Here is a 25,794-nt window from a genome sequence, read left to right as displayed (position 1 = left end):
TCCAGTTCTAAGACCTCATGTGCCTCTATGACCTATATTCAAATCATTATCTTCTGTGGAGATGGTGCTGTTGTGTTGAATTTTCCCCTTTGCCTGCCTACTTGATTCTACAGAAGGAAAGTCACTTCATGGGACCCCTCTGTGTGTTAAGGTATGCTTGCTGAGAGTCTGGTGGCCTGACTGATGGGAGGCATCAACACAGTGTGCCATGTACAGCCATGAAGTGACAGAAGCATGGGGAAAAAGACAGACGACCCCTCACAGTTCAGGGAAGGTTGGTGATGGGCTGCTGCTTATGTTAAGTCAATAATAGTCACATGCACATTATTCTTCTAGTAATTAGACTTAATTTGTTGAACATTTTCCCCAGCTTTGTCCCAAGAAGGGTTTAAAGTGCTTGATTTTCACAAGTAGTCCTTCCAGCTCATCCACAAATCAATGTCCAGCTGGGTGCAGTGACTCAAGCTTGTAATCCCAGCAGTCTGGGAGGCTGGTGGGAGGATTGCTTGAGCCCTGAAGTTTGAGACCAGTTTGGGAAACATAGTGAAACCTCTTCCCTACAAAAAAGTAAACAATTAGCTAGCCATTGTAGCAAGCACCTATAGTCACAGATACTCCAAAGGCTGAGGTGGGAAGATCACCTGAGCCCAAGAGATCAAGGCTACAGTGAGCATGATCACCCCACTGCACTTTGGCCTGGGCAACTGAGAGAGATCCTGTCTCAAAAAAGAAAAAAAAATCCTATTTTTAAGCCTTAAAGATCAAGGTGGCAGTGAGCAGCGATCAAACCACTGTACTTTGCCTTGGCAACTGAGAGAGACTTTGTCTCAAAAAAGAAAACAAACAAACAAAAAAAATTTCCTATTTCTAAGCCTTCAAAAGGTAAGACATTTTTAATTATTTTAACTCCATAGTGAAACTTTCTTATATTACCCCAAATTCTATTTTTTATCAAAATTTAGGGAAAACAATTTAGAGAAATGTTTTTATTAAGCAACATAGTTTACAAATGGAGGTAATTTCCCACTGCATAGATACCATGTGTTTTTTAAGTTGAGGTTCTTCATGTGTATTTTCCCACTTTCATTAATCTCTTCTTTTTATCTTACATACTTTTTTTCTTAGATTTTCCCAGCCAATAACTTCTTGTTTTAAATGTTTCATAAAAAGTATTTGGGAGTATTCATATGAAAATGATGGTTGTTTTCATAATTGTGTCCTTCTTTGTAGGATCCAAATCTAAAAAAATAAAAAATAAATAAAAAGTTATTGGCATGTAAAAACCATTCAGAAAGGTATGTTCTTATGTAAAATTTCAATCATAAAATAAAATAGCAAATGAATAAATAAAAAAGATTCATGCATATAGGAAAGGCAAACTAAAATTTTAACCCCCAAAGTCCTCTTTCCATGGTTATGGATAATTCCAAAAGCACATCTGTTTAAGAATTATTGGCTAGCATTGCTGAAAAATAAGTCCAGATTTTCTCTTTCATCTTGAGTTTGAATAATATTCTCTTATAGGCAAAGGGGCCATTAAGCCTGAAATGCTATTCATGTTACATTTATGCATATAAAAATCTATTTTGGCAGAACTTCTAAATTGTCTACATGTGTTAATGTGCTGCAGATTAACTCTTTGCACATGAATAACTATTTAATTATACAGCTCTGGTTGATATGATAGAATACAAAAGACACTAGGAAGAAAGCTAAGACTTGCACATAAGAGGCCACTTCCTTCCTTTTCTTCATAAGCAACCATAATATCTAACCTCTATAATGTAAGAGACAGGAGACCTGCTTCCTTTGTCATCTTAAAAGAATAATAACAAGGAATATCAAATTTAACATCACCTTTGATTCTGCTATTTCACTTCTAGAGCTAGACCCTAAGGAAGTAATCAAGGTTATGCTCAAACAGATAAGAATTCCTTAGAAGACTTTTTATAATAATAAAATAATAAATATGCAAAAATAACAAAATCGATTAGCTAAATGTTGGTGCATCCATACAATGAAATATTATGCAATGATTAAAACATATTTTAAGAAGAATACTTTATTATGGAATGAAGTTCATAATATACTATTTGGATGAAAGAATCAGATTAGCAAATAGAACAAAAACACACATATACACACAGATATACGCACATACATATATGTGTCATACATTTACAAAAGAAGGATAATTGTGTGATGTATAGATATATATAAGAGTTGTGTCAGCAAGATGGCAAAATAGGACTTTCCAGTGCTTGTCCCTGTAGAAACATCCATTTGAACAACTATCCATGCACAAAAATATCTTCACAAGAGCTAAAGATTTCAGATGAGAGATTATAGCATTTGAATGTATTAGAGAAATAAGAAAAGTCTCATTGAGAAGGGTAAGAAGGACAACTTCACATTACTTCTATCACTCCTCCCCCAAGACTAGGTAGCATAGTAAGTAGAGAGATAGATACTCTCTGCATAGGGTAAAATGAGTGAAGTAAGCACCCAACTTTGCCACAGACTCCAGCACCAGGTCCAGGCCAATGAACATTGGCACCAGGCTGGCACCCACAGACCAAGCTTCCAGGCCCACCTAAACACCAGGCCAGCCCCAACAACCCCAGTCCCTAAGCCGGCCCTAGCAAATTCAGGCTCCATCCCCACCCAAGGCTCCAGACTGGCATCAGTTTCGGGCCACCCCCAAAAGCCCCAGATTCCAGGCCAGAACACATGGACCCAGCCTTTATGCCTACCCCAGCTCCAGGCCAGCCCTGTGGTCCCTGACTCCAGTGCCCATGGACCTGGCCTCCAGAGCAATACCCACAGACCCAGGCTCCAAGCCCAACCTGGTGCTAGGCTGGCCCCTATGCAACCAGCTCCAGGCCACCCCTTATAACCCCAGGCACCAGGACAGCATTGCCAGTTCCAGGTTCTAGACTGGCCCTGTGAACCCAGGCTTTAACCCACCCGAGCTCCAGACCAGTCCCTGCAGCCCAGGTAACAGAATCTAGGCCTGCTCCACCAATTCCAGAGTACAGGCCCATAGGACACCTATGGAGGAGACCCCAGCACTGAGTTTAACATAGGAGGCCTAGGCTCCATGGGCCCAGGTTCCAGATCTATCCCAATGGATCCAGGCACCAGGTTCATTCCAGCACCAGGGTGGCTCCTGCAGACTCAGGCTGAAGGCCTAACCCCACACATCTACCCCAGGAATCAGGTTGGCTCTCATGGACCCAGACTTCAAGTCCAGTCCCTATTGACACAGGCTCCAGGCCCATCCCAATGGACCCCAGCACCAGGCTGGCCCCCAGAGACCCAGGCACAAAGCCTATCCACTTGCTGATCCAGGCACCAAGCAAGTTGGCCCAAGAACTCTAGCATAAGTCCACCCATGAGCCCAGCTAGATAGCCCACTGAGAATCTTTGGACCAGCCAACTGGTAAAGGCATTCCCTGCCAAGCCAATCTGTAAAGACTAGAAGAGATGCCCACTTTTTCAAATGTACAGATACCAGGGCATGTCCATAAAGATCATAAATAATCAAGGAAACATGATACTACCAAAGGAACAAATAAAGCACAAGTAACTGATGCTAATGAAAAACAGCATAATGAAAAATTCAAAATAATCATCTTGAAGCTAAGTGAGCTACAAGAGAACACAGATGGACAACTAAACAAAATAAGAAAAAAGAGTACATAAACAGAATGAAAAGTTCAATAAAGAGATAGAAATCACAAAAAAGAACCAAACAGAAATTCTAGAGCTAAGGAACATCATAACTAAACTGAAAAATTCAATAAAGAGATTCAACAGCAGACTCAATCAAGGAGAACAATCAGAGAGCTCAAAGTCTGGTCATTCAAAATTACCCAACCAGAGTCATAGAAAAAAGAATGAAAAAGTGGAGATAGCCTACAGAAATTATAGGTCATCATTAAGTAAACCTTATTGGTGTTTCAGAAGAAGCAGAGAAAGAAGGAAAAAGGGAGAGAAAGCTTATTTTAAAAAAAGCAGCTGAACTTTCCAAATTTGGAGAGGAAGATTCACATGCAGATCCATGAAGCCCAAATAACTCCCAAATATATTAAATATAAAGAGAGTGCTACCAAGACACATTATAATCAAATTTTCAAAAATCAAAGACAAAAAGAAAATTTTGCAGGCAACAAGAGAAAAGCAAAGAGAAAAAACATTCAAGGGAACACCTATAAGACTATCAGTGTGTTTCTCAGTAGAAACCTTGCAGGCCAAAAGAAATTGAGATGATGTATTCAAAGTGCTAAAAGAAAGCAACTGCCTACCAAGAATACTATGTAGCAAGGCTGTCCTTCAGGGACAAGGAAAGGTAAGGACTTTCCCAAAGAGACAAAAGCTGCAGGAGTTCATCATCATTAGATGCACTTTATGAGAAATGCTAATGGGAGTTTTTCAAGTTGAAATGAAAGGACATTAAAAATGTGAACACATATGAAAGTATAAAACTTATTGTAAAGGTAATAATAGAATCAAATTCAGAAAACATTAATACTTTAATGCTGATGCAGCATCATTTTTAACTCCAGTGTAAAAGTTAAAAGATAAATATTAAAATAACTATATCTACAAAAATTTGTTAATGGGTACATGATATATAAAATACATGAATTGTGACATCAATAACATAAAATGTAGTGGGAGGAAAAGCTAAATCTCAGTTTTTATATGCAGCAGACAAAGTTGTTTTCAGCTTAAAATAAATAGTTATGTTTTATGTAAGACTCATAGTATCTACAAATAAAAAACCTATAGTAGATACACAGATGATAAAGAGAAAGCAATCAAAGCATACTGTTACCAAAAAACTCATCAAATCATAAGGGAAAAGAGGAAGAATAGAATGAAGGAACTGTAAAACAGTCAGAAAACAATTCTTTAAATGGCAATACTAAGTCCTTAACTATCAGTAATTACTTTAAATGTAAATGGATTAAATTCTCTAATCAAAAGACAGAGTGAAAAAAATAAGTTATAAGAAATTGCTGCCTATAAAAAAAACTCACTTTAGCTTTGAGGATATACATAGACTGAAAGCGAAGGTTTGGAAAGATATTCCATGCAAATGATAACCAAAAGAGATGTGGGATGGCTCTACTTAGACAAAGTAGACTTTAAGTCAAAAACTGTCAGAAGAGACAAAGAAGGTCATTATACTAAAGTGCTCAATTCATCAATATAATATAATAATTATAAATATATGTGCACCCACCATCAGAGCACCTAAATATATGAAGAAAATATTAACAGAACTGAAGGGAGAACTAGACAGCAATACAATAGTAGTAGGGGACTCCAATAACCCACTTCCAACAATGGATAAATCATTCAAATAGAAAATCAACAAGGAAACAGTAGACTTGAACAACACTATAGACCAAATCGACCTAACATACATAGAGAGCATTTCACCCAACAGCCGCAGAGTATACATTCTTTTCAAGTGCAAATGAAAGGAAAATAAATCTTGGGACCCCAAAATCACTAAGCTAGAGGGAAAAGTCAAGCTGGGAACCGCTTAGGGCAAACCTGCCTCCCATTCTATTTGAAGTCATCCCTCTGCTCACTGAGATAAATGCATATTTACTGCCTCTTTCAGAGAGGCTAATCAGAAACTCAAAAGAATGCAACCATTTGTCTCTTACATATGAACTGAAAGCCTCCTTTCTGCTTCGAGATGTCCTGCCTTTGCTTCCAGTTGTCCTGCCTTCCCGGACTGAACCAATGTTCATCTTATGTATGTTGATTGATGTCTCATGTCTCCCTAAAATATATAAAACCAAGCTGTACTCTGACCACCTTAGGCACATGTCGTCAGGACCTCCTGAGGCTGTGTCACAGGTGTGCATCCTTAACTTTGGCAAAATAAACTTCCTAAATTGACTGAGAACTGTCTCAGATTTTGGGGGTTCACATGTTCATGGAACATTCTCCAGGACAAATCTTATGTTAGGCCACAAAACAAGCCTTAACAAATTCAAGAATACTGAAATCATTTTGAGTAGCCTTTCCAACAACAATAGTTAAATTATAAATTAATAAGAGGAAAATTGGAAAATTCACAAATATGTAGAAATTAAACAAAACTTTCCTAAACAGACAATGGATCAAAGAAGAAATCAAAAGGAAAGATTTAAATTATGTTGAGACAAATAAAAATGGAAACACAATGTACCAAAACTTACAGGATGTAGCAAACACGGTTTTAAAAGGGAATTTTGTAGCAATAAACACCTACCTTAAGAAAAAATAAAGACATCAAACAACCTAACTTTATACCTGTGGGAGTAGAAAAAGAACAAAGCCTGAAGTCAACAAAAGGAAGTAAATAATAAATATTAGAGAAAAAAATAATGAAATAGATGATAGAAAAATAAAAAAAAATATGAAACTAAGAGTTGGTTTTTTGAAAAGATAAAATGGATAAAGTGTTAGCTAGACTTACTAAGAAAAAAAGAGAAAATCAAATTAATAAAATTATAAATCAGTGTGGAGATGTTACAACTGATACCACAGAAACACAAATAATCATAAGTGACTACTATGAGCAATAATATGCCAAAAAATTGGATAGCCTAAAAGAAAGAAATGGACCAGTTCATAGTAACAATCTACCAAGACTGACTCATGAAGAAATTCAAAATCTGAACAGTTCAATAATGCATAAGAAAATTGAACTGGTAATCAAAATCCTCCTCAGAAGCAAAAAGCCCAGACCCAATTGCCTCACTGGTGAATTCTACAAAACATCTAAAGAAAAATGATGAGTTCATATCCTTTGTAGGGACATGGATGAAATTGGAAACCATCATTCTCAGTAAACTATCGCAAGAACAAAAAACCAAACACCGCATATTCTCACTCATAGGTGGGAATTGAACAATGAGATCACATGGACACAGGAAGGGGAATATCACACTCTGGGGACTGTGGTGGGGTCGGGGGAGGGGGGAGGGATAGCATTGGGAGATATACCTAATGCTAGATGACACAGTAGTGGGTGCAGCGCACCAGCATGGCACATGTATACATATGTAACTAACCTGCACAATGTGCACATGTACCCTAAAACTTAGAGTATAATAAAAAAAAAAAAAAGAAAAAAAGAAAAATTAGATTGACCATAGTGGCTCATGCCTGTAATCCCAGCACCTTGGGAGGCCAAGGCAGGCAGATCACCTGAGGTCAGGAGTTCAAGACCAAAGACCAGCCTGGCCAACATGGCGAAACCCTATCTCTACCAAAAGTACAAAAATTAGCTGGGTGTGGTGGTAGGCGCCTATAATCGCAGCTACTCAGGAGGCTGAGGCAGGAGAATTGCTTCAACCTGGGAGGTGGAAGTTGCAGTAAGCTGAGATCGTGCCATTGCATTCCAGCATGGGTGACAAGAGTGAGACTCTATCTCAAAAAAAAAAAAAAATGAAAGAAAAATTAATGCCCATCCTTCTCAAACTCTTTCATAATTGAAGAGGAGGGAACACCTGCAAATTCAGTTTATGAGGCCATTATTAGCCTGATACCAAAGCCAGACAAGGATGCTACAAGAAAATGATAAGCCAATATCCCTAATGAACACACATGTAGAAAATCCTTAACAAAATACCTGCAAACTGAATTCAACAGTACCTTAAAAGGATCATACACCCTGATCAAGGGGGATTTTTCCTTGGGATGCAAGGATAGTTAAATATATGCAAATCAATAAATATGATACAATGTATTAACAGGGTAAAAGACAAAAATCATATGATCATCTCAATAGATGCAGAAAAAGCATCTGAAAAATTCAACATCTTTTCATGATAAAAACTCTCAACAAATTAGGCATAGCAGAAATAGACCTCATCATAACAAAGGCCATATATGACAACCCACAGCTAACATCATACTCAGTGATTAAAAGTTGAAAGCTTTTTCTCTGGGATCAGGATCAAGAGAAGGATGCCCACTCTCAGCACTTCTATTCAACACAGTACTGAAAGTCCTAGCTAGAGCAATTAAGCAAGTAAAAGGAATAAAATACATCTAAATTGGAAAGGAAAAAGTTAAATTGTCCCTATTTGCAGGTGACATGATTATATATATATATATATCCCTAAAAACTCCACTGAAAAAAACTGAAAAACTGTTAGAATTAATAAATTCAGTAAATTTGCAGGATACAAAAGCGGCATACAAAAATCAGTAGCATTTCTATGTACTACCAATGAACTATCTGAAAAAGAAATCAAGAAAACAATCCCATTTACAATAGCATCAAAAAATACTTAGGAATAAATTTAACCAAGGAGGTGAAACACCTGTACACTGAAAACCACAAAATAATGATGAAAGAAATTGAAGACCACAAATTAATGGAAACACATCTGGTGTTCATGAATTGGAATAATCAATATTGTTAAAATATTCATACTACCAAAAGCAATCTGCAGATTCAATGTAATCCTTATCAAAATTCCAATGACATTTTTCACAGGAATAGAAAAATCAACCCTAAAATTTGTATAAGACCACAAAACACCTCAAGCAGCCTAAGCAATCACGAGCAAAAAGAACAAAGCTGGAGGCATCACGCTACCAGATTCCAAAATACACTACAAACCTGTAGTAATTAAAACAGTATGGTACTGGCATAAAAACAGATATATAGATCAATAGAACAGAATAGAGAGCCTAGAAATAAATCCACACATTTACAGTCAATTGATCTTTGACAAAGGTACCCCAAACACACAATGGGGAAAGGACAACCTTTTCAATAAGCAATGTTGGGGGAACTGGGTATCCACATGCAGAAGACTGAAATTGGACTCTTACCTCATACCATATACAAAAATCAACTCAAAATAGATTAAAGATTTTTGGGCTTGAAACTGTGAAACTACTAGAAGAAAACATCAAGAAAAACCTTCAACATTGGTCTGGGCAATGATTTTTTAAATATGATCCCTAAAGCACAGGAAACAATAGCAAAAATAGACAAATGGGATTCTATCGAACTAACAAGCTTCTATATAGCAAAGAAAACAATCAACAGACTGAAGAGACAACCTATGGGATGAGAGAATATATTTACAAACTATATAGGTTGAGTATTCTTTATCCAAAATCACTGGGACCAGAAGTATTTCAGATTTTGGATTCATTTTTGGAATATTTGCATTATACTTACTGTTTGAGCATCCCAAATCCAAAAGTACAAAATCTGAAATGCCCCAAGCATTTCCTTAGAGCACTGTGTCAGTGCTCAAAAAGTTTTGAATTTTGGAGCATTTCAGATTTTGGATTTTTTTACTTGAGATGTTCAACCTATATATGATAAACGGCTAATATCCAAAACATATAGGGAACTCAAAAAACTTAATAGCAAGAAAGCAAACTGATTTTTTTAAATGAGCAAAGGACATGAAAAATATTTCTCAAAAGAAGACATCCAAGTGGCCAGCTAGTATGTGAAGAAATGCTCATCACTAATCAAAGAAATACAAATTAAAAGCGCAATGAGACATTACCTCACACCTGTTAAAATGGCTAGTACCAAAAAGGCAAAAGACAGCAAATGCTGGCAGGAGATGTACAGCAAAAGGAACCCTTGTTCACTGTTGTGGGAATGTAAATTAGTATAGCCATATTATGGAAAACATTACCAAAGTTCCTTTAAAAATTAAAAATAGAACTACCATATGATCCAGCAATCCCACTTCTTGGTATACATCCAAAGGAAAGAAATTAATGTTGAAGAAATATCTGTACTCCTACATTCACTGCAGCATTTTTCACTATAGCCAAGAAATATAATTAACCTAAGTGCCCATTGACAGATGAATGGATAAAGAAAATGCAGCTATACACAAACATACATATGTATGGAATAGTATTCAGCCTGAAAAGAGGAAATCTTGTCATTTGCAACAACATGGATGAACCTAGAGGACATCATGCTAAGTGAAGTAATCCAGGCACAGAAAGGTAAATACTTCATTATCTCATTTATATGTAGAATCTGAAAAAATTGAACTCATGGAAGCAAAGAGTAGAATGGTGGTTGGCAGGGGCTGGGGGAGATGAGGGTTGAGAAGATGTTGGTGAAATGATACAAAGTTTCAATTAGACAGGATGAAAAATTTCTGGAGATCTATTGTAAAGCATTGTGACTATAGTTAATAATAATGTATTGTATATGTGAAAATTGCTAAGGTGTGATTAATATTACTTGTATATTTGAAAATTGCTTAAATATTCTCATCACAGTTTTAAAATTAAGGCATGCCTTCTATTTATGCCTTTACTATTTTCGTAATTAAACTGAGTGGGAAAGCAAATCTAGCTCCCTTCACAGTTGGTTTGGATCAATCTGCAGTTGTGGTTAGCCAAAAATATTTTATTTGGATTTCTCCGCACTCCTGCTATGTGAAGAATAACGACACAAGAAAATCCTTTTCTTCTCTGATTTTTTAGCTTCCATTTAAGAAACCATCTCAATCAGCAAAAGGAGGGAATCCTTCTATTTTACTTCTACCATTACTACTGCAAATACTAATGTTGCTATTGCAGCTACTGTTAAACAATAAGCACTCACTATGCACTATTCTAAAAACTTTTTGTGCCATTCATACCTCACATAGCCTTAGGAAGTAGCCACTACTATTTTTCCCATTTTTAGATGAGGCACTTGAGGCTCAGAGAGGTTAAGCAACTGGCCCACAGTTACCAAGCTGTTCACTGGCAAGAGTGAGGATTTGAACCAGACAGATGACCCTAAGGCCCGCGGTTTCCTAGTCACATTACACTTACACAGGGCAAGATCAATACAGGAATTGGAACAAATCTAGACTTGGTGATAACTCTCCTCATATTCATCACCTACACTTTGGTACAATTTTTTCTTGTTGTAAGGAGGGACAAAGAAGAAAAAGAGAATGGAGAAATTTCTTTTTTCCCCCAAAAAAATGAGAAATGTTTATTAGCTGGTAAAAGCGGTAGAAATGTCAAATAATAATAATGTATACGATATGTTCTGTCTTTGGCTTTATGTAGAAGTTTCCTCTCATTATCCAGTCATGGGAGAGAAAAGAGCACATACTCCAACTCATATGTTTTGCTGCAAATAGATTTCTCTTTTAAAAACAAAACAAGGCCGGGCACGGTGGCTCACACCTGTAATCCCAGCCCTTTGGGAGGCAGAGGCAGGTGGGTCACCTGAGGTCAGGCTTTCGAGACCAGCCTGACCAATATAGTGAAACCCTGTCTTTACTAAAAATACAAAAATTAGCCAGGCATCAGGGCGTGCACCTGTAGTCCCAGCTACTCAGGAGGCTGAGACAGGAGAATTGCTTTAACCCAGGAGGCAGAGGTTGCAGTGAGCTGAGATCATGCCACTGCACTCCAGCCTGGGTGACAGAGCAAGACTCCATCTCAAAAAAAAATTGTATTTCACATGGTAATGAATTTTTCACATGTGATGTAAATGAATTATCCATCATCCACAGTCTCAATCCTAACTGCACATTAGAATAACCTGGAAATAATTTTTTAAATTCCACAGCCCAGATACCACCCCAGGAGGTCCTGATAAATTGGTCTGGGGTGGGGCCCAGGCAGTGGTATTTTTTAAAAGCTGTCCAGGTGAATCTAATGTGCAGCCAGAGCTGAGAATACCAGCAACCCAACGATGCTAATAGGCTGTCTCCCCACTTATTAGTTCCATCACTCACTAGCCATGTGACCCCAGTGAAGTTACTTCATGTTCTTAAGCTTGAGCTTCCTCATCTATTAAAAGGGGATAATAAGAGGACCAACCAATAAGGATTAATTGAGACAACACAAAAAGCACCTATAACAGGGTCTGGGACATAGGAGCATTCAAATACTAGCTATCGTGGAGGTGACAGTGATGATGATGGTGATGATGTTCATGATGATAATGATGATGATGATGCTGTGAACTTTTTTAACCTGAGGTTACAACATATTTCTTGATTCCAGAAAGCAAGCACCGTAACTTCAACCCAAACCAGATTTTATCATCTTTGTCACAGTCTCCCTTACCTGGAATAAACCTCTAGGACAAAATATAATTTCTAGCTCATTTTGAGGTAATATGTAGGTTCCATAGAGGGATGCAGTAGCTCATAACTGGAACTACAGCATAAAGGAACTCACCTGGGATTAAAATGAATTTTCTCAGAAACTTCTCTGTGGTCTATGACCACTTTCTGGTTGTCTCTATAATTAGTGGGGTCATCAGGGATCCTAAATTTTGCCATCTGAATTTCTGAATCACTCAGTTCAGCATGGGAGATTCTTGCATAACCCAACCTGTAGCAGAAACAGAAATGGTTTGTAACAGTTTTATTATTGTATAGAAATCTAACGAGATCCAAGTGATACCCCTTTGTTATTAAACCAGTTTCCCACTTCTAACTCTACTCTGTATATCACAACTGGAATTAACTTAAATTGTTAATCTAAATATTGGCAAAATATTGCTTTTATGATATAAATGAATAAAGAATATGTACATAGATTTAATTAAGTAACTATTCTTAGCAACCTTACTTTACTTTTTTTATACTAATGAATATTCTAGCCATACAAATTGCCTCCCACACAATCATGTTTTGAGTTAATAACAGGAACTCTTCAGAATGACAGGGGTGTTCACCTTCTTTCTTACCTTTAAAAATCCAAATGCCACATGCATATTTTCAGCCTACTTTCAAGTCTGAAATCAAAGATTTTATATATCTGAAAAAATTCCATATCCCGTTTTGGCTTAGAGCTTTCAATTCCTGGGGAAATTCAATGCACTTTGTAGACATTATGCAAAGAGTTCTTATTTGAGAAGCTCGTGGAAAACACGGGGAACCATGAACAACAAAGAATTCATTTTATTTTATTACATTGTGCTCTTCCAGAAAAAAAGACTTAGGTCAGCTTCAGTCATTCATTTATTCAATGAAGCACATATGTATATATATGGAGTGCCTACTACATGCAGGCACTGTTCTGGGTGTTGGGGAATAAGTCGTGAATAAAATGAAGTCCTTGCCCTCATGGAACTTTCATTCTAGTAGGGAAGGATGCATTAAACACATATGTATGTTTACAATAAGTCAGGTAGTGATAGATAAGTAAGCACTGGGGTGAATGCAGTGTAAGAAGGACAGGCAGTGATGAGTAGGAGAGGTTGCTATATTATGGTGGATGGTCAGGGCATACCTCTGCAATAAAGTGACACTATAGCAAAAAATTCAACGAAGGGAGGGATCAAGCCATACAGATACTGGAGGAATGGTGTTTAGGGAAGGGGAACCACAAATGCAAAGGTCCTGAGGTGGAAATATGCTTGGTGTTTTGCGGGCCAACTCCACCATGACCGGAGTGAAGTGCATAAGAGGGAACATGCAAAGCCTTCCTCACAGGCCACTATGAAGACCTCAGTTTGTTGTTGTTGTTGCTGTTGTTGTTGTTGTTGCTGTTTTTTTTTTTAGAGTGAGATAAGAATCCATCAGAGGGGTTTGAAGCAGAGGTCTGTGACAGCTACCAGGTAGAGAATCACCTTCAGGGAAAGGGTCAAAGCAGGGAGACAAGTTATGAGGCCACTGCAATAACTTAGGTAAAAGATGATGGGGGCTTGGACCTGAGTGGCAGGAGAAGAGAAAAACTTAAAACAAAGCCTATGCCTGTAACTCCATGCAAAATAGAAACAGAAACCCAGAGCAGGACCAGCAGAAGCAGCAAGTCTGCCCATTGGGAAAGGTAAGTAGAGCTGTGACTGAACATCAGATGTGACTCTGAGCTGTCAGACAGCTTAATGCATTGTCTGGGCTCAAGTCCTAAATCTGTGCACTTCTGTGTAATTCTAGGTCACTGTCTTTAGCAAATCTAGGTTATTTATTCCCAAATCTCTAAGATCAAAGTTCTGACCCATTTAACAGACACTGCCTTCAAAAATACACCAAAAGCCTTGAAACTGAAGAATCTGACAATCCAAATCTTCCATTAAAACAGAGGATCTCCCATTGTTGTCCAATAAGTATTTATTAAGCACCTAATACCTACTACATGTAGGGCATTGAATTTGGTGATTGAGATGAAGGCTTACAAAATTAGTTTTGTGGACAGAAACTGAAAAACCCTAGTTCCTAACTTCATTAATGTGGGAATTTTTAAAATTACCTTCCTATTTTGTGTTCCCCCCAAAATTCATTTGTTGAAGCTCTAACCCCCAGTGTGGCCATATTTGGAGACATATCTTCTAAGGAAATAATTAAGGTTAAATGAGGTCATAAGTGCAGGGGGGGCCTGATCCTAAAGGATTAATGGCTTTATAAGAAGAGACACCAGAGAGCTCACTCTCTCTCTGCAGGCACAACCCAAGGAAAGGCCATGTGGGCACATGGCAAGAAGGCAGTTATCGGCAACCCAAGGGGACAGTCCTAACCAGACACCAACCCTGCTGGTACCTTAATCTTGGTCTTAGAATCTACAGAACTGCAAGAAAATTAATTTCTGTTGTTTAGACCACCAAGTCTATGGTATTTTGTTATGTCACAGAGTATTAAATTCATACATAAATAAATATATATATGATATCATATTTTATATATATACTTTATATGTACATGTATGTGTGTGTATATATATACAGAGTGTATATATATATACACACAGAGTGATACACACAGAGTGTATATATATATACACACACAGAGTGTGTATATATATATAAACTCTGCCATCCCATTCTCCTAAGGAGAGGTAATAAAGGTTTCAGAGCCCAACAATGAGCTATTATGGGTACCAGTTACTATAAATACCACTGTTCCTTGGTTCCCAACATTTTTTAAAACTTGAAATTAAACCTATTTCAGCCTATATGAAAAGTCGTTTTCTAGAATTTCCGATATCTCATTTAAACAATTGCTTTAACAAATATTTAAACAGAAACAGTGTTTTCAATCTTAGATATAAAATACTTAACAAAACTCACCCTTCAGCACCTTCTCTCCTACCGTAACACTTTGGAAACACCAAATTATAGTCAAGCTATCTGTTCCACAGCTATTTGGGCATGTGATGCTCCTTTTAGAGTTTCTGAGTTAGTGGTGTAAACCAAAACAATCTTAGCATCTCAAGGGCCTCCTTGGCCCACCTCAGTAAGCATATGGCTCCATGGAGTTGTCCAAGAACGAGTAAGGTCACTATTTTACTTAATAATGTCCAAAGTGCTTGCTAAGGATCCCTAGATCCTTACAAGATCTGTTCTCTTCCCTGCCTGCCCACACACTCTCTCCTTCCCTCCTCGGCCGCCCCTCACCCCACTCCACCCCAACCCTCTCCAGCCCCACTAACCTCACTTTTCCTCAAACATATGCAGCACTCCTGCACTGGGGCTTTTGCACTAGCTCAGCCCTCTACCAGGAGGTATCTTCTGCCAGGTGGCCAAATGGCTCCCTCCTTCCAATCTTGGCTGAAATGTCATCTTCTTAGTAAGACCTACCCAGCTCCCTACTTACAATTGCACCCCACCTCCATATTCTGGAAGCTCCTTCCCCTGCTTAGTTTTTCCCACCACTCTCATCATCTTCTAAAATAGATCATCCTGCAATTATTTATCATGATTTTTGTCCATCCTCCCTCCACCAGCATAGAGATCCTTCTCTGTTTTGTTTACAGCTTTATCCCTATTGCCTGGCATCCATTCTGCTAGATCGATACTTGTTGAATGGCAAATGGAGTCTAGAGCAAGAGAAACTAACAATTTGCTTTCACTGGACTATAATTCATAACCAAACAAGCCATATCCCCACTGGGAGAGGAGTTGAATCCATGATTCTATATCATCCCAGAAAGCAACCATTTTCTCTCATAAATGTAGGCCACAGATCTTAGAAGATAAGGTTACTTAAAGAGATCCATTAACGTCGGCCCCTATCTTCAGGCAGGCAATGCCAAGATGCCTTTTGGTGATGAACTGCTCTATATGGAGAAAAGACTAAGGCTCAGGGAAGTCAGTCCTAGGAGCCCACACCAGGGCTCCCCACATTGTCCCCAAGATGGCAGTTAGAGGGCTCAGGTCAAATACCTCCAGACAGATTCTGTCCTAACAGGAGAACCCTTGAGTGTTTCAGGGAAGGTCTCCAGCATGTTCCCTCTGTGGAAGAACTTTGTATGTAGAGGAACCTGTGAATCAACTCACTGTGTACATCATCTACCACCACCTGCCATACTCACATCACTTCTCTCACTCTACTCCAGCGACACTGGCCTCCTTGCTCTTACCCCGCAACATCCAGCATCCTCCTCTCAAACTTTCCCCGCCTCCCCTGCCTGAAGTGCTCTTCCTCAGGGTATGCACAGGTGGGGTCCCTCCTTCCACTTGAGGTGCTGCCAAGATTTCACTCCATCATTCCTCACCCACTTTTTATAACCTACCACAGCCACCCCCACACACCCTGCCTTCTCACCTGGATTTATTATTTTTCTTTCATCATGCATATCTCCACCTGTCATAGCTTGTCATTTCTTATCTGCTTATTTTATGTTTCCTTCCACTGCGATGTAAGTTCTACCACAGTCAAGGATTTTGTTTTTTTCCTATTATATTCCCACTCCCGAGAACAACACCCAGTACATAAAGAGGATTTAGTAAACACTTATTGGATAAATGAATGAATGAATGAATGAATGAATGAATGGTTAGTCCCTCTTTTTTGGCATTAAACTGTTCCTTGCTTTATTGATACAAATACTGCCTTCAAAACTGATTTATACAGCTACATATTTGAATTTTAAAATCTCAGCTGTATTATTTTGGATCACATATGTATGTATACAGTCATGTGTCACTTAACAACAAGAATGCATTCTAAGAAATGTAGATTGTGCACATGTACCCTAAAACTTACAGTATAATAATAATAAATAAATAAATAAACAAATAAAAAAGAAGTTGAGAGTAGAATAGTGGTTACCAGCAATGGGGGAGAACAGGGAGAAGGGAGAGATGGGGAGATGTTAGTCAATGGGTACAATGTTACAGTTAGGAGGAATAAGTTCTTATATTCTATTCACAGTAGGTTACAACAATGTACTATATATTTCAAATAGAAAAGAGGATTTTGAATATTCTTACAACAAAGAAATGATAAATGTTTAAGGTAATTGATATGCAAATTATAATGATTTGATCAGTATACATACAAGTATTGGAATACCACATTGTACCCCCCCAATAAATGTGTACAATTATTATGTGTCGATTTAAAAAATAAAAATATATTTAAAAAAAAGAAAGAAATGTGTCATAAGGCGATTTTGTCATTGTGTGGACATCATAGTGCATACTTACACAAGCCTGGATGGTATAGCCTACTACACACCTAAGCTATATGGTATGGCCTATTGCTCCTAGGCTACAAACCTGTACTGCATGTAACTGTACTGAATATTGTAGACAACTGTAACACCATGGTAAGTATTTGTGTATCTAAACATAGAAAAGGTACAATAAAAGTATGATATTATAATCTTATCAACTACCATTGTAGATGTGGTCTGTTATTGAACAAAAATATCATTAAGCAGCACATGACTCTATGTATCCAAATATGTATTATCCAAGTATATCATACACACACATACGCATGTATGTGATATACTCGGGTAATATTTTTATGTGGAATGATATTTTTTAAATACAATTTACCTATAGAGCTCACTACAGTATAGTAATGGCCCCATCAAATTAGTTAACTTACCCAGGATTATTGATTAGAAGCTGGCAAGGCTGGAACTCAAGCCCAGGACTTTCTCATCCAATGGCCTGTGATGTTTCCACTAACCCATACATTCAAAAATGGTGCCATTCCTCCCATGTGTTGACAGCTACATATTCACCATGCCTAATAGCCTACACAGTACCCTCTTATATAATTAAACTTAATTTGCTTAGCTATTTCTACTTTTGTAAATTATGAGACTATGCCTTGAAAAAGATGTTAAACTGTATAGTCAAATCAATGTTTATAAACATTGATTGCTTTTTATAAAAAGCAACAAAAATTAATTGCTTCCATAAAGTTCTTTTTCCTTCTCAGACAGACCCAAAAGATCACATTAATAATAGATTAAAAACAAAATCAAACCCCTGTGCTCACCTGATCAGCCCTCGATACATAATGTATTCACACCATCTGTCATGATCAGTGCTGTCGATATCCTAATAAAGAGCAGAGAGGAGAATGTTTAAAGCATAAAAAGCAAAGCTCTATTCCACATTGCCAAAAAATGTGTGAGCTACATGATAAATATCTCTTTGTACATGCTGTTTTCTCTTCCTGGCTCCTACTGATCTTTTTTGGTCCAAATTATTTGCTCATTCTACATATATTTATTGAGCACCTACTGTGCGCCTATCTAGCTTCTGTACCACATGCTAAGAAAACAAAGAGGAAGGAGGTCTGGAGAGTGACTCAGATAAATCAACGATTACAAAATAGCCCCTGACTCCTGGCAGCTTTCCAAGTCTCTCATCCCCAGCAGCACTGACTGCACCTTCATTGGTCATCCTGTACAGTACTTTACACACACTAGTTATGCCATCGTGCCAGGTATCTGTTTCTATGTCTCCATCCTCCCACACCTGCACAGAGGGAATCTTAATCACTTTTGTCCAACCTGTCACTTAGCATAAAACCTGGCATTGAGCAGGTGTTCCATCTGTGTTTCTTAAATTGAATCATGGAAATAAGAACATCTGGGGAGCAATCATGAGTCTTTTTGATGTTGAGGGCTTGGGACCAGGGTTATTATTCATCAAAGAAAGAGAACAGAAACATATTCTTTTCTATCATGTGTTGGGAAAACTATAAATATGAGGTGTTTATTCTGAAGAAAGAAATCTCCATTTTATTCTGTTTAAATATCTTATAAATAAAAAATATACCTGACTTTTCACCACTTCTGAATTTTACTATTAACATTTAATTAAAAACACATTTTTAGATCACTAAAAGAATACATCACAATTTATTATATAATTCTTCATTTTTTTCTTAAGCTTAGTGGTAGACACATGGATGTCTATTAATCTTTATTGTTGTTTATAATACACACATACATATACCTTTTGTATACATAAAAATTATAATAAATGTTTTAAATTAAATTTAAAATGTTGATGAAGGAAATAAAGAAGCACTGTTCCGGTTTGTCTTGGGAAAATAGAAAACTTTAGTATTGGGAATAATTAAATAGATAAATAAATGATAAATAAATCTATTTAACTATCATTTTGTTTATCAGATTTTTTAAAGATGCTGTAAGACTTGCAAAAAAATTTTAAAAATAAAGATGCTATAAAGTTTTAAGACTGCAGAATTTAAATACTCATTTCTTTAAGAGAAAAATCTGTTCATCCAAGCATTGATGATTAAAACTCTTCTCCACATTAATAAACTTCCTCCTAGAGAAAGCAATATAAGAATCCACTACCAATTTTGACACAGCTTTTGATCACGACAGTGGAAACCAAGAGAGGATTAGATGAAAATCAAATCAAATTCTCCTTCCTTAATACCATGTACATCCCTCACACACACTCACGTGCACATGCACACACACCATATAAGAATGCCCTATTAGGATGCCATTTTTACATAGACTTGCCAAATTTCATCTTGTCTAATATTCGTTTGTGCTTCATAGACCATGTACTTACGCGTTTCTCTTATTTGATTTTCAACATACAGCCAGACACACATAATATATGTCATGTAAGTCTGAGGGCTTTGCAGATGTTATCTTCTATTTCATCATCAAACAACCCTATGATTCCATAGATATCACTCTCACCACTTTGCAGATGTGGAACTTGAGGCCCAGAAAGGCTAAGTAACTTTCCCCAAGGTCACACAGCTGGTAAATGCAGCATCATCTAGGCTAGTAAATAATGACAGACCATGAGAAGAGAGAGAGGTCCAGCACCAGGGCCCAGACGCCTGTGTGGGGCTATCTTAGACCCTCCTGCCATAAGTAAGCCATCAGATGACTGCATAGGAGAACCCAGGCAAGAACAGAAATCCACCCAGTCAACCCAAAGAATCATGAGAATATTCAATTATTACTGTTTTAAGCCACTACGTTTTGAGGTGGTTTGTTACACAGTGATAAATAACTGATACAGTCTCTGTGATTACACACTTTCCAGGTTTTCCTCTTCTGAAATCTCCTTACTCCCTTTCCTGAAATAATCTGTCTTCTCTTCCTTCACCTACACCCCCATGATAGCCACATTCAATGTGACTTCATCAGGGCTTTATTTGGTCTTCCTTCTGCACTTCTCTAACTCTAGCACTCTAATTTGCACTTCTCTAATTACTAGCAATACCACTCACTTCCATGGCTTCAACGCTTCCCTACATGGTGGCCACTCCTTAATCTATAACTCTAGTTCTCACTGCCCTTCTGGATTCCAGATCTGTATATGCACCTGCCTATTGGACATCTCCATTAATGTCCCACAAATGCCTCAAACTCAGCCCAAAGCTGAACTCATCTTCCTTGTAAAACATTTCTTTCTTTTGTATTCTCTATAAAAATAAATGTCAGTATCATAATCCCTCTGACCAGACCCAGAAATCAGGGATCCATCTGTGGCTCCAAGGCTAAGTTATACAAGGCAATACAGGCTTTTTCTTGTTCTCTTGGGATACTCACTATTGGAAATCAGCTGCAAGGCAGAGAGGAGGCCCAAGTAGCCCATGGTGAGGAACCCGGGTCCACAGCCCAAAGCACCAATTTGCCACCTGTGACTCATCTACTGAGTAGGTCCTCCAGTCCCTAGTTGAGCCTCCTAGCTGATCCTGCATGGAGCAGACATGAACTATCCCCATTGAGCCCTGTCTGAAGTCCAGATTCATGAGCAAATAGATGACGGCTGTTGTTTTAACACTCTAATTTCTGTCTATCCAAAAAATGCAGAGACTAACTCATCTTCCTAATATCTGCCTTACCCTTCTTCCAAAATTATGGTATTTTAGCTGTGAATATGGCCATCAGGACTAAACATTGCACCTCTCAACTTTCTGTACAGCAAAGTATGGCCATTAGACTAAATTTCTGCCAGTGAAATATAAGTAGAAGTGTTACAGATCAGTTTCTGGGACTTGCCTTCAGAGGAACTGGCATATGCTCTTGGCCCCTTCTTTATCCCTTCCTCTATCCTGCTAACTAGAACTTAAAGGCTGCTGGTTTGGGAACAGAGTCCTTGTCAAATGGAACCACAAGGTAGAACACAGATTCCAAACACCACACAGTGCCATTCCAGTGCTGATTCACCTGCCCACACTTTTACATAAAGAAATACATCTCCTTAAGCGGATGAGCAACTTCAGCAAAGTCTCAGGATACAAAATCAATGTACAAAAACCACAAGCATTCTTATACACCAATAATAGACAAACAGAGAGCCAAATCATGAGTGAACTCCCATTCACAATTGCTTCAAAGAGAATAAAATACTTAGGAATCCAACTTACAAGGGATGTGAAGGACCTCTTCAAGGAGAACTACAAACCACTGCTCAAGGAAATAAAAGAGGATACAAACAAATGGAAGAACATTCCATGCTCATGGGTAGGAAGAATCAATATCGTGAAAATGGCCACACTGCCCAAGGTAATTTATACATTCAATGTCATCCCCATCAGGCTACCAATGACTTTCTTCACAGAATTGGAAAAAACTACTTTAAAGTTCATATGGAACCAAAAAAGAGCCCGCATTGCCAAGTCAATCCTAAGCCAAAAGAACAAAGCTGGAAGCATCATGCTACCTGACTTCAAACTATACTACAAGGCTACAGTAACCAAAACAGCATGGTACTGGTACCAAAACAGAGATATAGATCAATGGAAGAGAACAGAGCCCTCAGAAATAATGCCACATATTTACAACTATCTGATCTTTGACAAACCTGACAAAAACAAGCCATGGGGAAAGGATTCCCTGTTTAATAAATGGTGCTGGGAAAACTGGCTAACCATATGCAGAAAGCTGAAACTGGATCCCTTCCTTACATCTTATACAAAAATTAATTCAAGATGGATTAAAGACTTCAATGTTAGACCTAAAACCATAAAAACCCTAGAAGAAAACCTAGGCAATACCATTCAGGACATAGGCATGGGCAAGGACTTCATGTCTAAAACACCAAAAGCAATGGCAACAAAAGCCAAAATTGACAAATGGGATCTAATTAAACTAAAGAGCTTCTGCACAGCAAAGGAAACTACCATCAGAGTGAACAGGCAACCTACAGAATGGGAGAAAATTTTCAAAACCTACTCATCTGACAAAGGGCTAATATCCAGAATCTACAATGAACTCAAACAAATTTACAAGAAAAAAACAAACAACCCCATCAAAAAGTGGGCCAAGGATATGAACAGACACTTCTCAAAAGAAGACATTTATGCAGCCAAAAGACACATGAAAAAATGCTCATCACTGGCCATCAGAGAAATGCAAATCAAAACCACAATGAGATACCATCTCACACCAGTTAGAATGGCTATCATTAAAAAGTCAGGAAACGACAGGTGCTGGAGAGGATGTGGAGAAATAGGAACACTTTTACACTGTTGGTGGGACTGTAAACTAGTTCAACCATTGTGGAAGTCAGTGTGGCGATTCCTCAGGAATCTAGAACTAGAAATACCATTTGACCCAGCCACCCCATTACTGGGTATATACCCAAAGGATTATAAATCATGCTGCTATTAAGACACATGCACACGTATGTTTATTGCGGCACTATTCACAATAGCAAAGACTTGGAACCAACCCAAATGTCCAACAATGATAGACTGGATTAAGAAAATGTGGCACATATACACCATGGAATACTATGCAGCCATAAAAAATGATGAATTCATGTCCTTTGTAGGGACATGGATGAAACTGGAAACCATCATTCTCAGCAAACTATCGCAAGGAGAAAAAACCAAACACCGCATGTTCTCACTCATTGGTGGGAACTGAACAATGAGAACACATGGACACAGGAAGGGGAACATCACACTCTGGAGACTGTTGTGGGGTGTGGGGACGGGGGAGGGATAGCATTAGGAGATATACCTAATGTTAAATGACGAGTTAATGGGTGCAGCATACCAACATGGCACATGTATACATATGTAACAAACCTGCACATTGTGCACATGTACCCTAAAACTTAAAGTATAATAATAATAAAATTTTAAAAAAATCAGAAAAAAAAAGAAATACACTCTCTGTTATTTTCTGTCACATGCAGAAAATTCTCATCATGCCATGCTCTTTAACCTGTCATCCAAACTCTGTAAATAATGTTACACCCTAAGAAGAGTTAAAGTAGTAAAATCAACATAAGACGGATAAGATTTTTTCTCTGCAGATATTATCTCAAGACATGAAGTTGAAAATGGAATGAAAGGGACCAAGACATCTGCATAGGGCATAACTAAACATAACAATCATATTTCTCATTCTAAATTAATTCATTTGGCATTATAGTATATATATATATATATAAGTGTATATATATATCAGTATATATATATATCAGTGTGTATATATATATCAGTATATATATACATCAGTATATATATATCAGTATATATATACATCAGTATATATATATATATATATATATATATCAGTCTCCTGAGAATTTGATTTGTGTGGCAGTTCCCCAGAACATGATTATATTCTGGTACACTGACAAATTCAAGTGTTTCAGACCTGAAAAGGTAGAGTAATTCAGTGTCATCTGCTGGGGCCCTGTTGGCTAATTAGCCATTCTCTCTGTGTGGCATTTCATTTTGTTTTACTCTCAATTCTTTTTTTAATTTTTATTTATTTATTATTTATTTATTTATTTATTTAATTTATTTATATATTTTTTTGAGACAGAGTCTCGCTCTGTCACCCAGGCTGGAGTGTAGTGGTGCGATCTCAGCTCACTGCAAGCTCTACGTCTCAGATTCCTGCCATTCTCCTGCCTCAGCCTCCCGAGTAGCTGGGACTACAGGCACCTGCCACCATGCCCGGCTAATTTTTTGTATTTTTAGTAGAGACGGGGTTTCACCATGTTAACCAGGATGGTCTCGATCTCCTGACCTCGTGATCCGCCCGCCTCAGCCTCCCAAAGTGCTGTTATTACAGGCGTGAGCCACCGCACCCAGCCCCATAATTAACTTTCATAATGTGGCAGATTGTGTTTTCTAAACATGGCTACAACAAAATCTCACTTTCCATTAGTATTCTTATCTTGTGTTTTTGATATTCCTCCCATCAAGAATTTAATGTGATCAGAATTGTGATGACAGTGGAAGTAACAGTATATGACTTACAAGGCTATGCCATACAAAGCAAAACAGATTTTTTCTGGTTCTCTTGGGATTTTCACTATTGAAAGCCAGCACCATGCAGGGAGGAAGCCTAAGTAGCCCATGGCGAGGAACCAGGGTCCCAAGCCTAAAGCACAACTTGCGACCTATAAATCACCTATGAAGTAGATCCTCCAGTCCTTGGTTGAGACACCTAGTTGACCCTGCATGGAACAGAGATGAGCTACCCCCATTGAGCCCTGTCCACATTGGAGATTCATGAGCAAATAGATGATTGCTGTTGTTTTAAGCTCACATGTTTTGTGGTGATTTTCTAGGCAGCAGTAGATAGACTGCACATGAAATTTTTAGGTGAGGTTGGTTTTTTTAAAAACATGAAAGAAAAAGAAATGTTTTACTTAATAAATTAGAAATCCTATTAAGATTATGTTACCTTCACATTGCCATGTTCAGTGAGCTGTAGATAATCTCTGGAGCCAGGTGCTGAAGTGATATATCCCAGAAATATCACTTGATTAGAGCTACTTTTCAGTAGTTTTGAAACAGCAATAGCCTGCAGTTTCCTGTCGAGGTCATCTCTAAAAAATGTAAAAATATGACCCTTTATTGTATTTGTAAAACAAACTTTAAAAAGCCTTAGGTACCTAAGTTGCCAAAGACTATCTGCATATAGTGAAGAAGCCCAGAGTCATTCCTACTCGGGCAACTGTCTTAACATTATACAAATGAACAAGACCTAGATACAGCACTTCAAATGAATAGGCTGACAGACATTTGGCTAAGAACATGACCTTTCTTCACAAGTCATTTGGAGTCAAGTCAATTTAAAGATCTACTCTAAATACAGCATTGTTCAACTTTTCATCAGAAGAAATGAAATCACTAACGTGATAACTCACCATCAGTATTACAGCTAAAGAATTAGTAGTTTAAAAAAGTAAAAAGAGCCAGGAATACTGGTAAGATGAAGAATCCTGACATTCACAGAGCCCATCAGGCTTATGTAACCTAAGCTCCTTCAACTGAACACTTTTTTTTTTTTTTGAGACAGAGTCTCACACTGACACCCGGACTGGAGTGCAATGGCACAATCTCGGCTCACTGGAACCTCCACCTCCCGCATTCATGCAATTCTCCTGCCTCAGCCTCCTGAGTAACTGGCATGACAGGTGCACACTACCATGCCCAACTTAATTTTTGTATTTTTAGTAGAGACAGCATTTTGCATGTTGGGCAGGCTGGTCTTGAATTCCTGGCCTCAAGCAATCCACCCACCTTGTTTCCCAAAGTGCTGGGATTACAGGCGTGAGCCACTGCGCCCAGCCCAACTGAACACTTTCTGAAAGCCTCCTTGGCT

The 25,794-nt window shown here is 37.9% G+C and overlaps 1 protein-coding gene across 7 annotated transcripts in view; it reads right to left on the bottom strand.

Moving 5' to 3' along the window:
• Window positions 1–971: 971 nt before the first annotated feature.
• Window positions 972–25,794, bottom strand: part of CWH43 (cell wall biogenesis 43 C-terminal homolog) — a 75,805-nt gene continuing 50,982 nt past the window's right edge. For all 7 annotated transcript variants that reach the window (XM_011513755.2, NM_025087.3, XM_011513758.2 and 4 more), the window contains 4 exons: window positions 24,871–25,015; window positions 18,204–18,265; window positions 12,202–12,357; window positions 972–1,239 (listed from right to left, as the gene is read on the bottom strand). In XM_011513755.2, the coding sequence (XP_011512057.1) occupies window positions 1,161–1,239; window positions 12,202–12,357; window positions 18,204–18,265; window positions 24,871–25,015 (442 nt within the window). In that variant the 3' untranslated portion in view covers window positions 972–1,160. The remainder of the gene's footprint in view (window positions 1,240–12,201; window positions 12,358–18,203; window positions 18,266–24,870; window positions 25,016–25,794) is intronic.

The sequence above is a fragment of the Homo sapiens genome, chromosome 4, assembly GCF_000001405.40.
Source record: "Homo sapiens chromosome 4, GRCh38.p14 Primary Assembly".
NCBI classification, from domain to species: Eukaryota; Metazoa; Chordata; class Mammalia; order Primates; family Hominidae; genus Homo; species Homo sapiens.
The sequence above is the reverse complement of the archived record's forward strand: the minus strand, read 5'-3'. Positions and strand labels throughout refer to the sequence as shown.